The 17,710-nt window shown below is 35.5% G+C and overlaps 1 protein-coding gene across 43 annotated transcripts in view; it reads right to left on the bottom strand.

Annotated features, from left to right (window-relative positions):
• The window catches only part of ANK2 (ankyrin 2), a 678,115-nt gene that overhangs the window by 461,872 nt on the left and 198,533 nt on the right, over positions 1-17,710 (bottom strand). For 39 of the 43 annotated variants that reach the window (NM_001386147.1, NM_001386160.1, NM_001354254.2 and 36 more), the window contains exon 2: positions 17,351-17,410. The exons of the other annotated variants lie outside the window; for them this stretch is intronic. In NM_001386147.1, coding sequence (NP_001373076.1) covers positions 17,351-17,371 — 21 coding nt within the window. In that variant the 5' untranslated portion in view covers positions 17,372-17,410. The remainder of the gene's footprint in view (positions 1-17,350; positions 17,411-17,710) is intronic. 43 annotated transcript variants of the gene reach the window in all.

Raw genomic sequence — 17,710 nt, 5'->3', positions numbered from 1 at the left:
AAAAACATATTCAAAGACAAATGAATTAAAGCCTAATTATTATAAATTCTAAGTAGTATCCACAGAAGATCATGCTATTTGACATTTGACAATGAAAAAGTAATAAACTTTTCTTAGCAGCCATGATAACAAACATTTAAACACAGGAAAAAATAGTGGATAATGCAAAAAAAAAAAAATAGAATGGTATTTTAAATTCTCCCTTGAAGTTTTGAAAAAAATTAGAAGTCAAGTGCACTGGCATGTGCCTATAGTCCCAGATACACTGGAGGTTGAGGCAGGAGGATAGCTTGAGCCCAGGAGTTGGAGGTTGTAGTGTGCTATGATTGCACCTGTGAATTGCCACTGCACTCCAGCCTGGGCAATATGGCAAGACCCCATCTCTTTAAAAAATAATTAGAGGAATAGTACCTCACAATCCTCAAAATAATTTATACTTTTAGAATGTCAGATTATGGAACAGTTAAAAAAAAAAAAAAAAAAAACTTAAAGAAACCTAATGCAGAAAATATTTCTCATAAGAAAATAATACACAGAATCAGCCGGGTGCAGTGGCTCACGCCTGTAATCCCAGCACTTTGGGAGGCCGAGGCAGGAGAATTGCTTGAGCTCAGGAATTCAAGACCAGCCTGGGTAACATGGCAAAACTCCGTCTCTACAAAAAAATACAAAAATTAGCATGGCGTGGCACACGCCTGTAGCCCCAGCTACTTGGAAGGCTGAGATGAGAGGATTGTTTGAGCCGAGATCGCACCACTGCACTCCAGCCTGGGCAATACAGCGAAACCCTGCCTCAAAAAAAAAAAAAAAAAGAGAAAAAGAAAATAATACATAAAATTATTCATTTGGACTAATCACCATTAAAAACACTCTGATAACATGATGTGTTTAAATAAATAAAATTCCCTGAATATTTTATCAGGGATCCATGAGCTATACAACAGCTTTAATTTAGGGTTAACTTTAAATATAATATTTAACTATTTTCTATTTGGCATTCAAAGCAATAAAAGTGGGAGGTGAGGCACAAGAGAGACTCCTTGATCCTCAAGTACATGTATGTGCCATATGGTATAGTGAATATGAGGGTTCAACTAAATGAGAATAGAACAGAGCATCCTTGATGGTAGTATGAAAATACATGCTATATAAGGAAAGTAAGCAAATAAATGGCTTATCTGTGCTGAACTGCACACTATTTATAACTAATATGGTAAAACCTGTGGAAATCCAAGAGAATTTAAAATATTAATGTTCAATTTATATTATTTATAAGTAAAAGTAAAGTACATGTTTAAACAATCAAAGATCCTTAAAGACTGTTGTACTTTGTTCAGATTTTTAAAACATAGAAATAAAACACATTTTGTCTCTTTAGTGTTATATTCTACATCCTCTGGTATATGTATAATATTTTGGAAACATTTATTATTTCCTAACTGGTTTTTTGATAGAAAACACACTTTATTTGGCTATAGGAAGGCAGTATATATGGACATTTCCCACTCTAATGTCATGAGACCATGTCTCTCCCTAAAACCATCTCAGTAGTTGTTGCCAGCACACAGTATGTTTTATAAACATTGGTTAAAAAGAAGAATGAGCTGAGTCTTCTCATTAAACATTACAAATGCAGATTGACTTTGTGTCTTATAAAGGGTTAGTGTATATTACATGCCATATAAATCAGAGGCAACATAGAGTGGTGAAAAAGAGTCCTGGGCTTAGAGGCAAGAGACACGAGTTCTAGACCTAATTTTGCCACTAACTGGAGAGAAGAGGAACTTTTACTCCTACAATACTTAAAATAATATCATTGGACCAAATGATCTGAAAAGGCCCTTCCCAAGAAACCTAAAATTCCATAATGTTATTATTCAGCTCTACGTATAATAAATTATTATTCAACTCTAAATATAATAAATTATTATTCAACTCTAAATATAATAAATTATTAATAGCTACAAGAAAGAAAAGCTATAGTTAGGCTGACAGATTTACTAATCAAAATGATATTTATTCTTGCATTAAGATGTTCCATTTTCATTAATGGCAGATATAATGCACTTAAAGTTCGCTTTTGTATTTCTCAACTGGAACATTAGTTTGGCAACACTTTGCTACATTTGCAAAACACTTAGTAAAATTAAAGCAAAGAAATGATTATTTTCTATGACAGGAGTTTGAATAAAATGCTGGTTTACGAATTTTCTGCTTGTTACTTTTTGTTAAGGAAAATAAATTTGGTATTATACTTATTTCATTTGTCTTATGAAAAATAAAGAGAATATTGAAAGTTCTATGTATCTCGCACTGTTAATACTTAGGCACATTAAAAATAAACATACATGAAAATTAGTATATACATTAATTATATTAAATTGGCCTTCATAAAATAAACTAATTGTTTTATTTCCTTACCTGACACGTTGGACTTCAACCGACACTAATGACCATCAACGAGTGAGTTTCCATAGTTTTTAATTTAAAATAATGCTTGTTTTTACATACATTAAAAAATAGTTAACATTTATAAATAAAAATAACTGTGATAAAGAGATAAAAGCTGAGTAACGCTAATGGAGTTACAAATTATAAAATAATAAATTGCTTTAATGCTATACCCTGCTCCATATAACTGCTACAAGTCTTCACTATCACCTATAAATCCATCTAATACAAAAGATGCTATTGCCAATTGTCAATATGGAGCTAAAGCTGGAAGACAATATTAGTATGCATATTCCAGTATACTAAGAGATTTCTTCTAAGCTGAGAAAAGGTCTACTTTACTCAGGCCTAAAAGGGTATTTCCATGTGGAAAATGATAAATAACTCTTTATTAACTAAAAAGTGAAAGAAAATAGAAATTCCATAGAAAGCAGAAGTAATCAGGGGTCAATTAAAGCAGAGCATATTACCACCCCTGATTAGCTATATATAAACTCAAATAATTATGCAGATATAATCATATGCAAACATGAATTCCACGTTCAAGAAGTAGCCAAATAAACAACAGCCAAGCAAACAAACAAGTGGGAATTTAGAAAAACAAACTGTCAAGGACAATCTTCAACAAATTTTCAAAAACAGAAAGCAAACAGCATGAAAATTAAAGGATACAAAAAATCATTTGCAATCCAAAACTATTCATTCTGTTGATATGCCAAATAACATTCAAAACACTTAAGAAGACAGTAGATCACATAATTAATATTACTGCCATGCTTTTTAGTTTTATTTGTTAGAGTGTGGCATCATTCCCCTCTCTATTCTTCAAACAGGAAAAATAATATTCACTCAGACAACAAATGCAGCAGCCATGGTGAGGGCGATCAAAGAAAACTAGTGTCCGGACTTGGATGTTTCCGCCACGTCTCCCCGCTACTGTCAAATAGCTTACTTTCAGAGTGAGAGTGGGTGCGGCAAATCTGGGAAGGTGACTTGATCATCTTTTTTTTTCACTAAATGAAAACTTGTTGATGTCACTTTCCCACTTATGTTCTTTCGGGTGCTTTCATAACCTGAATTATTTATGCAAGGATGCCAAATGCATCAAGCTATCTTCATTCCACCCTCCCTGAGCCGGGGCAGACTTCAACCATCACCTCAGGAGCACGCTAGTCCACTGAGCTTGGCTGAGCTCAGAGCCCTTCTCAAGACTTTTCCAGGAAGCTGCCCCTAATCAATCAGATGGCCTGTGTAATAAAACCCATTTACCTTTTGAATAGGTGACTACTCAGAAAAATGCTTTGACTAAAAGCATAAGTAAAGAACTGACAGGTAAAGCAGGGTCAGAGAAGAAAGATGTTGATAGTGCCAGTCCAAGCAAGGGAAGCAATAAGCAGGCCCCAAATCTCCAGCACTCCAATCCTGGTAGCCAGATAATCTTTTTTATGCAGGTAGTGCTTTGAGGTACTAGCCTGATGCCATTGACAATCAAATTATATTATTGTTTCCCCTTCTTCTGGTCTCGTGCTTATGTAAAAACCTGTTGGCTAGTATTTTGTTCCCACATAGTTTTATTGACCCATAAAGTCAGAACACCAAATTAATTTGGCACAACTATTCTAATTTTATGTGACAATACATATTGAAAGTCCATATTATACATCACTTCCTGTGAGGTTACTTAATGTGAATTCACCCCCAAGAGACTGCTCTCTTCTTAGTGCACTGAAAAACTTAGTTTCTGAGCCTACAAAGTAAGGATTCAATGCTGAACCATGATAAATCCCCAAGATATGTATGTCATCTAATAATATATCTTAATAACCAAACAGTTGAGGTTTATTGTCACTGCCACTTCTTTCTCTTTAGACTTTCAACATGTAACACATGGAATAAAGGTCCCTCATGAACTGAGCTCCACTTTTTTTCTTTCCAATTTTACCTCCAATGTAGTCCTACAGTTTGTATCAGCCGCAGGAATTCTGATCATGGCAGTGTTGGTGGTGGAGGATAAGTATATTGCTTCAGGACATCAAATCTAAAGTTATAAAGCAAAATCTTAAATAGGAGAATAAGCAACAACATTGGAAGTTGGGAGCATTAAAAGTTTGTAGAATTGACCAGGATGTAATATGAAAAGGAATGCATTTTAGATCCACGAGAGTTATCAATAAAGAGTCTGTTAGAAGCTCTTTTTCATTGTGGTGCTTGTCACTTTAGCAGAAAGTTGGTAGCATAAAGTAGTTGTGTGGTTCTTGGACACCACAGCTTAAGCCTATAATGTCCACAAACCGTGAGGTCTAGCTATCTGGAATGACTTGCTGCTCTGGAATTTGCATGTTTCTCACATCCCCCTGCCTTTGCATATGCGTTTCCTAATTTCCAGAACATCCATTGGTCTTTATTCAAGCCATGCCTCTCTGCTCCCTTAGCATTTATGGCACTGGAATTTAAGTTGTCCCTATATATTTTCTTTATGATTCTGAGTTCCTTAAAATCAGGGCCCTGTTTAAGACATCTTAATGCCACTGAAGTATCTATCACAGTACTTTATATATAATGAGATATATAATTTGATCATTAAATTGCTTATTAAAATACATTGAATAGAAAATCCTGATGCTATTATACTAGTTGAAGATATTCTCATAAATTCTCACCTATTCATTTATCTGACAAATGTGTATCAGAGTTTTGGGGTTTTGTTTGCTTTTTACTTTTTTAATGTGTCTGACCTTGTGCTAGGAATGGGAGATATTAAAGGGACTCAATCCCAGCCATTAAGGAGAAAGAGGTCTTGGTAGAAAGTTGACACTTTTACTCGCAGTAACATCGCTATCCAAACTGCTACCAAATATACAGACTACAAATGTTTCATTGAAATACTTAAATATGTAATAGATTGAAGGCAGGAATTTTATTTATGCATTGATTATTCAAATTTTTACAGATCAGTTTCCTCTGCTTCATAACCATAATTTAGATGTAGAATTATGATGCACATTAAAGGTGATTTTGATTAATAACCCCACATTCTCCTATTTTCTATCACTGAGGCTCATAGTCCTGCTCAGTTATTAAGATGCTTTAGTATAGTGCATTTAGTGCAGTAACTTTCAATAACTGAAAAAGGCAGATTTTTGTCACTTATATCCATAAACTATTAGGTTTAATATTAGCCCATTTCCTCATCAGAACCATGTCAGAACACAAAAATCCTGCAGATTCATGTGACTGGTTTATTAATTCAGAAATTGTAACATTCAAAATTCACAAGTAAATGGTCCTGTTTAAGCTATAAAACAAATATACTTTTACTAGGTAGTTTAACTTTTTATCTTAATGAAACTCACACAACAGTTTTTCTCAATGGAGCATCTAAATATCAATAATATCTGACAATTAAAAACACCAAAGAGTTACGCAGGAATGGAAAACTTTTTGCATATATTAATTTTTTATGTTCCGTATATAAAATTCTGTGATAAAAGACAAATGTTATAGTGAGTATATACTTATATAATAATTATACTAAGCAAATTCATGTGCCCAGAAATAAAATTGCAAAGCCTCAATAATGAAAGCAAACTCAAGATTAAATCCAAAAATAAATTGAAAAAAATGTATTTATTATTTATTTATTTATTTATTTTTTTTTTGAAACAGAGTCTCACTCTGTTGCCCAGGCTGGAGTGCAGTGGTGCAATCTCGACTTACTGCAGCCTCATCCTCCCAGGCTCAAGGGCTCCTCCCACCTCAGCCTTCCAAATAGCTGAGACTACAGGTGTATGCCACCATGCCCAGTTAATTTTTTTGTAAATTTTTTGTAGAGACGGGGATTCACCCCATTGCTGAGGCTGGTGTTGAACTCCTGGACTCAAGTGATCCACCCAACTCGGCCTCCCAAAGTGTTGGGACTATAGGGATGAGCCACTGCACCTGGCCAAATGAAAAAATAATTCATACTATCTTGCTACCAGTCTTTAAAATTTAAAATAGACCCCATTTTATATTTTTCTTTGGAACTTATCCTTTAAAAACATCTATTTAAAGTCTTATTTTTCTGTTGGGCCTCATGTTCTTGGTAAAGTGGTCTTTAGATCAAGTTTGACGTACACAAATACCGTTTATCTGTCTATCCCAGTACATTTGCTGAGCTCCCATCATGAACTTTGAGTCCCTGAGGATCTTGAAGTTAAGAAGATCCCTGCTCTAAAAAATATGTAAGCTGTATAAAGAACAGTAACAACTAGGAAAGGCATGAAAATCTAATTTCTGTAACTCAGTTCAATTCAGTAGAACTCATAGCCTTATTATCTGGGGAAAATCAGAACATATAGGCCCTAAATTTAGTCATAAACTTTAGTTTAGATGTATTTTCCAGTAATTATTCAGGAGAAAGCAGTAGTCATGGGGACTCAGCCCCAGAGGCAGCCGTCACTTGCTATTATATCAGCCTTTGCTGCATTAAGCTTTCCAAAAATAGAATTCCCATCTTCAAATTCATGTATTCCTTCAGGTATCCCCAACAGACTTTTCCCCCAACAGACAAACATTATGCTCTTACCTTTGACAATCATTTCAACTGTGATACAGGAATTTGATTCTAAAAAAACAGGGGTAGGATCGGCTCTTTCCAACCCCTTCTAGCTCTAAATTTTAGGAAACAGTGGGTGCCTCTTCTTCCCAATATGAAGCCACATGGGCTGGGTCCTTTTGTTTTCCTCAGATCACAGAAAGAAAAGTAAGCAAATAAGGGAAAAATCAGATTTTAGTTCACTATTTTTTTCTTTTCTTTTCTTTTCTTTTTGAGACAGAGTCTTGCTCTGTCACCTAGGCTGGAGTGCAGTGGCGCCATCCTCCTCTGGGTTCAAGTGATTCTTCTACCTCAGCCTCCCGGGTAGCTGGGATTACGGGCTTGTGCCACCACGCCCGGCTAATTTTTTTGTATTTTTAATAGAGACGGGGTTCCATCATGTTGGCCAGGCTGGTCTCCAACTCCTGGCCTCAAGTGATCTGCCCACCTCAGCCTCCCAAAGTACGGGGATTACCGGCGTGAGCCACGATGCCCAGCCAGATTTTAGTTCACTTTAGATACGATATGCACACCTAATTTTACCCTATGCCAATTCTGTAAATGACTGATATAATAACAGTAACACAAATGGGTTTTTCATTATTATCTTTATATAAAACAATTATAGATGTATTTAGATACGTAAATTACAGTTTGACTTCATGATTAAAAGCATGAGTTTTGGAGTCAGACAGGTGGATTTGAAGTCTACTTGAACCACCACTGATATGACCCAAACAAGTTACAGAAGCCCCAGTTTCCACTTTCACAAAAGGAGGGTAATAAAAATCTACCTGAAAAGAAACCCCAAAAAAACTATCTCAAAGTGTGATGTGCCTGAGTTCCTTAGTAGAAAGTAAGAATTATAGATGTTACTATTACTCAACAAAATATTCCCATCAAAAAAAAGACAGGATGAATATCCATGAAAAGTTATCTAATATTTAAAAATATATAGAGAAAAAATATTTCAAAATGCTGTATTTATCTAAATTCCATGGCAAATTGACTCATTTTTATAAGGTTTGGATCTCTTTCAAACTCTAGTCCATGCACTATGTTATAACTTCTCTATGATTTCCAAATAGGGCTTTCAAGTTACTGAACAAAAACAGGTATATCTGTACAACTTTATGATGCATATCTAACAAGTTTATAGATGAGGCAATCTGTAAATTTGTACAAATGAGGGAAAGAGAGGCTATAAACATATTTTTAACCATCCAGAGAATTCAAGGTATTAAACTCATATACAGATTCCAAAACTTAACTGAGCAAAATCCAAAAATGTATAGTTTCAAAATGTATTATTCAAAAATTAATCCTGATCAGAAACACAGTATTAAGAAAGTTTGGAATAAGTAAAAGTCCAAAGTAAAATCAATTGTTTTAACATTAAAATATACTGTGTACAGGAGGTTGAGGTGGTAGGATCGTTTGAGCCCAGGAGTTCAAGGCAAGCCTAGGTAACACAGAGAGACTGATAATATTGACTTTACATATTCAACAGGAAAAATAATTATACTAGTCAAAATCCTTTACAATAAGCTTCATTTTACCATAAAACTCTACATTACAGAAAGGTAATTAAGTATCCATTACTGGCCATTTACATAAATTTTAATATTCAAGTAATATTTAATATAGCACTATGCTATTATCAAATAATTTGGATGGTTAGAATGGGATTGATCCTAGCAACAATAGATATGAAGAACTCTGTACTCTACCACTGGAGCTAATATGAGTTTTTTTACGGTTACATAGGCATCCCGAGCCTATGTAGTGCACTTTGTTCCAATCATCTACATATTATAACATAAAATTATAAATTTGGAAAAAACCTTAGAGACTTCAGCAGATTTTCAGTCTAGTGCTTCCCCTACCCCACACCACCCCCATCAACATTCATTACATCATGTCTTCCTAGATGTAGTCATTTCTAGAATCTGAAAATTATTTTTTAATATTTATTTATTTATTTATTTTAAAGACATGGTCTCACTATGTTGCCCAGGCTGGACTTGAACTCCTGGGCTCTAGCTATCCTCCCACCTCAGCCTCCCAAGTAACTGGGACTAGAACCTAAAAATTATTTAATTTACATATACATATCTCTACTTCACTCTGGTCACATGGCTGACTTCTTCCTAATAATATCAAAATAAATTAGGCTGCTCACAAATTTGGTCTTCTAGAAACCATAGTGTGGGCTATCCTCTATTAAGCTCTCATAATTGTGTGATATTTTCCAGGTTACTTTTCTAGGAATATATATTTTTACTTTGGGATTCCCCACTTAAAAGATAAGAAAATGGGAGGGATAGGAAAATCATAATATACACCACCCCTTACCCCACTCAAAAAATGGCAACTAGATTAATTTTCTTAAATTCAATATTACACGAGTGAAATTTTGCTTGGGAACTTTTAAGTAGGAATAAATGGCTTCTAAAGTAATATGTTTTATCAGGGTATCAGGGTTTGGTCATCTTTTCATAGAAAATAAGTATGTTTGGAAACAACTGGCTCACATAACCGGTTCCTTCTCTTTTTCCAATTGTTGTCACTTAAAAAATATTCATCAGAAAGTGGAAAATTTGTTTTGAACTGCACTTGCCGTCCCTAAAGTGCCACATCAGTTTCTTTTTTTTTTTTTTTGAAACGGAGTCTCGCTCTGTCACCCAGGCTGGAGTGCAGTGGCACGATCTTGGCTCACTGCAAACTCCACCTCCGGGGTCCACACCATTCTCCTGCCTCAGCCTCCCGAGTAGCTGGGACTACAGGCGCCCGCCACCACGTTCGGCTAATTTTTTGTATTTTTAGTAGAGACGGGGTTTCACTGTGTTAGCCAGGATGGTCTCGATCTCCTGACCTCGTGATCCACCTGCCTCAGCCTCCCAAAGTGCTGGGATTACAGGCGTGAGCCACCACGCCTGGCCCACATCAGTTTCTTAACAACAAAGAAGACATAATTATTAACACAATAATCAATTAAACAGATGTATTTTTAGCTAACTCACTTTAAAAACTTAAACTATTTTTCTAGCTAACTCAAATATTCTCTAAATATCTGATGTAGATAGCTTTTTTCTTTTTTTATCTCAATGACCTGACAAAATATATAGAGCAACTTTAGCTTCTCTCTAGTGTCAATGACAACATAATAAGGAAAAACATAGCAACAGAGTTTGTTTAAAAATATATTGATAATGGCAGCCAGGTGTGGGCACGCACCCATAGTCCCAGCTATTCAACAGGCTGAAGTGGGAGGATCTCTTGAGCCCAAGAGTTCAAGTCCAGCTTGGGCAACATAGTGAGATATATCGCTCTGTTGCCCAGGCTGGAGTGCAGTGGTTCGATCTCCGCTCACTGCACGCTCCGCCTCCCAGGTTCACGCCATTCTCCTGCCTCAGCCTCCGGAGTATGAGGAAGTACAGGTGCCAACCACCACGCCCGGCTAATTTTTTGTATTTTTAGTAGAGACGGGGTTTCACCGTGTTAGCCAGGATGGCTAACTAGATTAGTTAACTATATCTCCTGACCTCGTGATCCGCCCGCCTCGGCCTCCCAAAGTGTTGAGATTACAGGCATGAGCCACTGCGCCCAGCCGAGATATACCATCTCTAAAAAAAAAAAAAAAAAAAAAGCACCATCTTGGCCAACATGGTGAAACCCCGTCTCTACTAAAGTCTCTACTAAAAATACAAAAATTAGCTGGGCATGGTGGCTCATGCCTGGAATCCCAGCTACTCGGGAGGCTGAGGCAGGAGAATTGCTTGAACCCGGGAGTCGGACGTTGCAGTGAGCTGAGATCGTGCCACTGCACTCCAGCCTGTCGACAGAGCGAGACTCCATCTAAAAAAAAAAAAAAAAAAAAGGCAAATAATAAACAAAAGTCTTCAAATTATAAACCAAATGGTTTGAGCTTCTGCCAATTATGATAAATTATTTTGGGAGCACAAATGGGTATTAAAAACTTTTTAAAAGAAGGCTAAATATAGAATTCTCTTTCAACATTTTTTTAAACATTGCCTCTAAAATCTCTTAATAGTTGTCTTCCAAATATTATCCTCTTTCTAAGGTAAAAAAGACAAAAGATAATTAGTTCCTCTGGAAGTCTCTATGTTTGCCTGATGGTACTGAGCAGAAATATGCATATTTGCAGATCTGCCAAGTGCAACCCATTTTGCTGGACAATTCCCAGTGCATTGAATCTCTGCCAAAAAAATAAGCTGGGTGTTGAAAGTTCCTTTTTATCCGTCTGCAGAATTTCACTTTCTCCCTCTGCTGGCTGCCACAGACCCCCTTTACAGATATTAGGTTTAGATGTGCAATGAAACACACATTTGTTCTCTTTAAGTTTTACGATAATGAATACTTCAGTACCCCTTTCTTATAAGTGTTTCTCTTTAGAGCAGCTCTCAGTAACGAGTTCACCATTCCCTGTGCAACTGAATAAAGCTTTTCTGTGACAGGTCCTTCCTATAAGATTTGCAACTCTTACCATTATTTAAAGAACTCAGAAGCACTTCTAAAAGCCGTAAGCATTTTACAATGTTTTCTTTGCACCACTGAACAGCCCCAGCTGAGGAAAGCAAAATGAAGCGGGCCAGATTCACGCTGAGGAGGGCATGATCTTTTCTGTGAGATCCGTATTTTCAGATTTAGTTCACTGATTAGGCTAAGTTCCTGTTTCTTTATATGTTTTGCCTCTAAGCATGTAAACGCAGATATTGGAGATCACTGTGATTCATATAAGTTTGTAGAAACTTATGCTTATTCTATTATTTATTTGTTTGCAAAATTTTAACACTAAAGAATATGGTTAATAATAATTAACACAAATTTTACTGTTGTAACCTTAATTAATTCTATGACCATCATAGTAACTATAATAGAGAATTACTAGCATTTCTAGAATTACAATTAATGTGTATGAATTAAATGGAGAAATTGTGGGAAAGGAAGAAAAAAATCTTTGCTTTGAAAAAAGTAAAAAAATGAATGAGCTCATTAGAACTTTGTTCACTTTTATCAGATACCAATACCTTCGACACAGTCTCTGCTATACATAGACTGACCACAAAATAAGGAATTGGTTCCAGGTAGGGTACAGAAACGCTCATCACAGAGTGAATACTTTTTCCCCAAAATTCAGTTCTTTTCTTTCAGAAAAATCCGTGCTACTTTGGTTTATTGAGTTTTCATTTTCATCTTTTTTCATATAAGGACAGAAAAGAGTTTTAATGTAGATTATAAACCATTTTAACCCAAAACAAAACAAAACAAAAAAATAGTAGGAAACAAAAGAGAATTATTTTCTGTGGTCACAAGAACTGCATATAAAATACAGTTACAGTAATACAAGGATAAGATATCTATTAAGTTTAGATGAGAGACTAGAAATCTCCCATTTGATTTGATGGTTAGAAACAATAAATGGATTAAGATTAACAAACTTAACTCTATCATTACTCCCAATTATGTATGTTCTTCAGGAAAAAGAATTCCAGAAAATACCAAGCTTCAGTTATCTAAATTTAAGCAAATTATGTTACAATTATTGACCAGAACAAAGGGTGAATATTCCATCACTTCAGGAAATGGCTCAAAGATTACACCTAGTTTACACAAGTAGATGGGAAATTAACACCACTGAAGTATACAAAAGATTTTTGGCATCACATGCAAACAGAAATATACAATTATCAATAATCACGTTAATGCAAGGTATTCTATTCCCCAGTATCTAAAAAGTTTAGTCTTCGCTATTTTCTTCCAGTCGTCCCAGTGGTCCTCCTAGGCCTTGAAAATAACTTTTAAAAACTTGAGACAAAATTTTATATCTGGTCCATATGATTTCATATTTAACCCTTTTAATTATTCTCATTTCCTTTTGTGATTTTCTTCTGTATAACTAGAACAAGATTTCATGTGCCATAGGTACAGATCTTAATGTGTGGTTCAGGGCTCTACAGCAGAATAGAAGATGGCAGGGACACTGGCCAGACTGAGCTGATTCACCTTCAGCAGGAAATGAGTTTTGGAATGAAAGCCAATCAATGCGCCAGACTTACAAAGTCAGGAAAACCATGGGGAGTCCTCAGCCAGCCAGAGATCTTCCTATCTGACCTCAATATTAACAGCTTTTGGTGGCATAAGTCCTAAGCCCTGCAGAGACAGTCCTCTAATCATTATAGTTTTTAGAGGGAAGGTTGAGAGGAAGTGACTAAACAGGAAGCAGGTTCTAAGGATATAAACCTTCATTGGACTCTCAAAGCCACTTTTTTCTCAGTGAGCCATTGCAGGTATTTGACTTGAGTAGCACTCTCTGATTTTGAAGACCAGCCCTTTTCTTGCTATGTCTCTCCAGTCTCAACTACATCTTATCCTAGCTGTCTGTTTGTTTGGTCTGACTTCACCAGCCCATTTTGGTCTTAAAATAAAATGATCTGGATCTGAATTTTGGCTCTGCCACATTTGCTGGTGATTTGCAGTATGAGTTTGACAAGTTACTTAACCTCTATGAGCCTCCATTTCATCAAATGTAAAACCAAGTTATAATATCCACCTCATTGCATTGCTGACTATTAACAATAACTCAAGTTAAACGGCCCTCTTTAATTTGTCTTTATAACTCTGTTAGCAAGTTCTTCATACTCCAGTTTAACCCTCTTTTAACCATTTCTTATATTGGCTTTTCTACCTTATCAATACTTTGCTTTCCAACATAAAAGTATGGTTTTCTTGAAAACTTCTATCCCATCTTTATGGATGTTTTCAGCCCTAGGCAAAGTCATACCCTAATGGAAAAGCAACATCCTGGTAACTCATACTACATGCTTTCATGGCTGCTCAATGTCAGGGCAGTTAATCCTCTCTGCCACAGTCATATGTCTATCCTTTGAGGATAACGAAGAACAGTTCTACTCATGAGCTTAGTGAAGGGCTCCACATTAACGAACTTTGGTAATCCTGGTCAGCAAAATTAATTAAAAGAAGGGCTTGGCTTTTCAAATCCCAGATTTGTAATATATTTAGCAGTGATTTTTGCTGAGCTTCCTTGATAAAATTAGTATATACTATCACTAAAATTATCAATATAAGGTAAGAATTTATACTTTAGGTTAAAGTAGATACTAACCTGCCTATTTTAATTGTAAAGAAAAAAATTATCCTCAAACAACAGTTAATTTATCTTAAGAATTTCATGTTTTGATGAAATTCAATATAGTTGTGATCACCTAGAATTGTACTTTTCAAACAATGTTCAATGGAGCCACCAGATTCAATGAGGATGTCTCAGGGGAACTTCCTGAAAGTAGGATGAGGAGGAGGGGAAAGAAGAGGGATAAGTGGGTGGGTTCCACATCCTGCATGCCCACTGTAATCAGAATAGTTCTCTTTGCTAATGCCAGATTTTATTTTTCAAAATGGTTTTGCAGCTAACAAAGAAAAAAATTTAAGTACCTGAACTAAAAGATCCCTTCAGTCTTACAAAGAGCTCTATGCCCTCAAGTAAACACTCCTAAAAGTCAAATGGGACACAGAAATTTAGAGTTTCTAGTTAAATGGACATATTAACCTTCTTATAATTCAAAGTCAGCAAACTGAAGTCTTTCATCTTCAGGGCCTGTTTAACACTTTCAGTCTAACTCTACTGTCCAAAGAATGCTTAGCAGAGCAGAAAGAATGTGCCTACCTAAGGACACCTGAGTAAGGACAGCAGGCTCTCTTCAGTCATGGCAAAAAGGACATATATTTTGTAGTGTTAAAGTAATCCTTTCTTCAAGGTCAAAAAGTGTTCTTAAATTTTGCCATGAAAATGCTCTTATTAGGACACATACCAAAACTGAGGACCTAAGAAAAGAAGAGTCAAATCTTTCTTATACCTTCCCTCAAAACAGATGATCCCTGATTTCTGATTTTTAGAGAGTAATATTCATGTACATAATACACTTATAAATTTAAGGAGTTTGATGATACTACAAATTCCCAGTCATCAATACTTGCCTAATCTAATATTGACCTCTCTCTCTCTCTCATTCTCCACAAACGATACTTCAATCCTTGCCCTTTTCCTCAAATCCTCATTAACTACTCTGGCCACATCTTCTTCACAGAGAAAATACAAATTTTTCTTGACATCCCCTTCAATTTTCCCTACCAAATCTACAAACCTATCTGTATCTGCACGCATCCTACAGAGATTGCCTTAGCTGTGTTGATGTGCATGTTGTCCTTCCCACTGGCTATAGGTAATCCCTCTTCCTAGACCACCTCCTCCATCACTTCCTTCCTTTTCAGAAACCCATACCTCCAATCTCTCTCCTTCTTCTGCACTGTTCCCATTAAAATGTAAACATGTTCAAGACTCTCTCATCCCAACTTCCCTATCCAGACGCTGGATTCTCCGCACTTTTATTTCCTGACAAAATTTTCAAAAAGCTATCTTTTTTGCTAACTCTATCCCCTTATCTCTTATTTACTTCTCAAACTAATCCGGTCTGGTTTCTACCCCTGCTTCTCTACTGAAACTTCCCTTGCCAAAGTTACTGAGGACATTTATATGTAAAACTCCAGTTGGTTTGTTGATGCATTCATCTTTCTTGACCTGTCAGCAACATTTGACACTCCCTACCAAATCATTATTCTTCCCTTCTTTGTCAAGAAGTGGAATTGGTTCTCCTTTATCATACTATAATCACAGATCTTTCCTCTGAGCTTCTAAGATTCATCTATCCAATTTCTGACTTAGCTTTTATACCTGGAAGTCTCAAATGAAGCAAAATGTATTGGAATATATTCATATAATAATATTAATTATGTAATAAAGCAGAGTAATATCTGCCCTTCTAAAAATAGCCCAAGCTGGCCAGGCGCAGTGACTCATGCCTATAATCCCAGCACTGTGGGAGGCTGAGGTGGGCAGATCACTTGAGCTCAGGAGCTCACGACCAGCCTGGGCAACATAGTCAGAACCCATCTCTACAAAAAAATCAAAAATTAGTCGGGCATGGTGGTGCAAGTCTGTAGTTCCAGCTACTCAGCAGGCTGAGGTGGGAGGATCACTTGAGCCCGGAAGGTGGAGGCTGCACTGAGCCATGATTGTGCCACTGCACTCCAGCCTGGGTGACAGAGGGAGACCCTGTCTCAAAAAACAAAACAAAAACAAAAAGAAAATAGCCTAAGCTGATTAATGTTATCTCATTACCAACATTAATAAAATTGTCTATTTCTCCTTTAGCACTCAAAAGAATAGCCATGAAGTATAGAAAATGTATGTTAAATAATTATCATTCAAAGAGGATAAAATTTTAAGTTATTCCCCACTCCTTTTATCTTATCTTCAATAGTACATGACCTGAATTTTGTAAGGCCTTGAGGAAATTTCTAAGCAAAATGAGAAATGCTTTAAAAATTGCAATTTTATTAAAAAGCTAAGTTGATTTCTCCTCTTTTGGCATTCTGGCATATCTTCTGTTCTTGGATTAAATTACTAATCTAGTACAAAGGCACCATATGTTATTTATTGCACCTGAAACATCATGGATATTTGCATGATTGTCAATGTTAATGGTGTCATACAACTCATCTAATAGTTCACCATGTAATTGTTTCCTCTGTAACCAAATGAGATGATTTTCACAATATTTCGTAGATTCCTTCTAGAAAAGAAACGGATTCTTCTAGATGAGATTCACGACTTAAAAATACAAGCAGATTTCCCCAAATCATGTGTGCGATATAAATAGACTAAGAATTTTTACATTCTATCATTTAAGTCTAATATTTCCTTCTTCCCTCCTTCCCCTTGATTTAAATGTAGAATCTGGAGAATTCTCCACATGGATGCAATCTATTTGAATTATTTAGAATCAAATAACTTTATTGACAACCTTATAGCAATCAATTTTATAAGTAATTATGAAGATAATGTTCTGATCACAGAAAACAAATTCATAAGCCCTTAGAGAAAATAGATGACTTTGGTGAACAAATCCCAATGTGTTTATTATGTCTATTGTATTCAGATTTCTTTCCTCCACCTCCCTTTTTCCAGCAATGAATATCTTGAGGAAGAGACAATCTATTTACCTTTTCATTCCCAAATGATACCAATGATAATTGCCTAGACTACAGAAAGAAAAGTCTTATAGTATATTACATTTCTTATAATTAAAAAATTGTTAATGCTATAACATCTTTAAATCTGTTTTCATAAAAATTGTTTTTACCAAAATAGTACTTAATTACATTCTAACCTCCGTGTCTTTTTATAAGATTCCTTTAAAGTAATATTTAAAATACCAAAAGTACCTTTTGCAACATGGTGGTCATTTGAAATACCAATTCTTCATGTCTCTTTTCATTACTTACCTAAAAGGATAAAAAAGAGAAAATATTAGAAGTTTGAAATCATTTCAATTTATCATTAAGAACAGTTTCCATATTTCAAATCAAAATAAGCTTATAGGAGGCACTGATGGAGTTCTTCATTTTAAAAAGCCACTATTATAAATGCAAAAGAGCAAAGCAAAAATATTTGAACATTTCAAGAGTTCAGTAAAGTAGCCAAAACAGAATGTGATAAAAGATGAAAAATAGCCTATTAATCTGTAAGAGAAATAGATTTTTAAAAATATGAGAATGTCCATTCAATCATAAGTAGATTCATAA

Source organism: Homo sapiens, chromosome 4 (genome assembly GCF_000001405.40).
Source record: "Homo sapiens chromosome 4, GRCh38.p14 Primary Assembly".
NCBI classification, from domain to species: domain Eukaryota; kingdom Metazoa; phylum Chordata; class Mammalia; order Primates; family Hominidae; genus Homo; species Homo sapiens.
The sequence above is the reverse complement of the archived record's forward strand: the minus strand, read 5'-3'. Positions and strand labels throughout refer to the sequence as shown.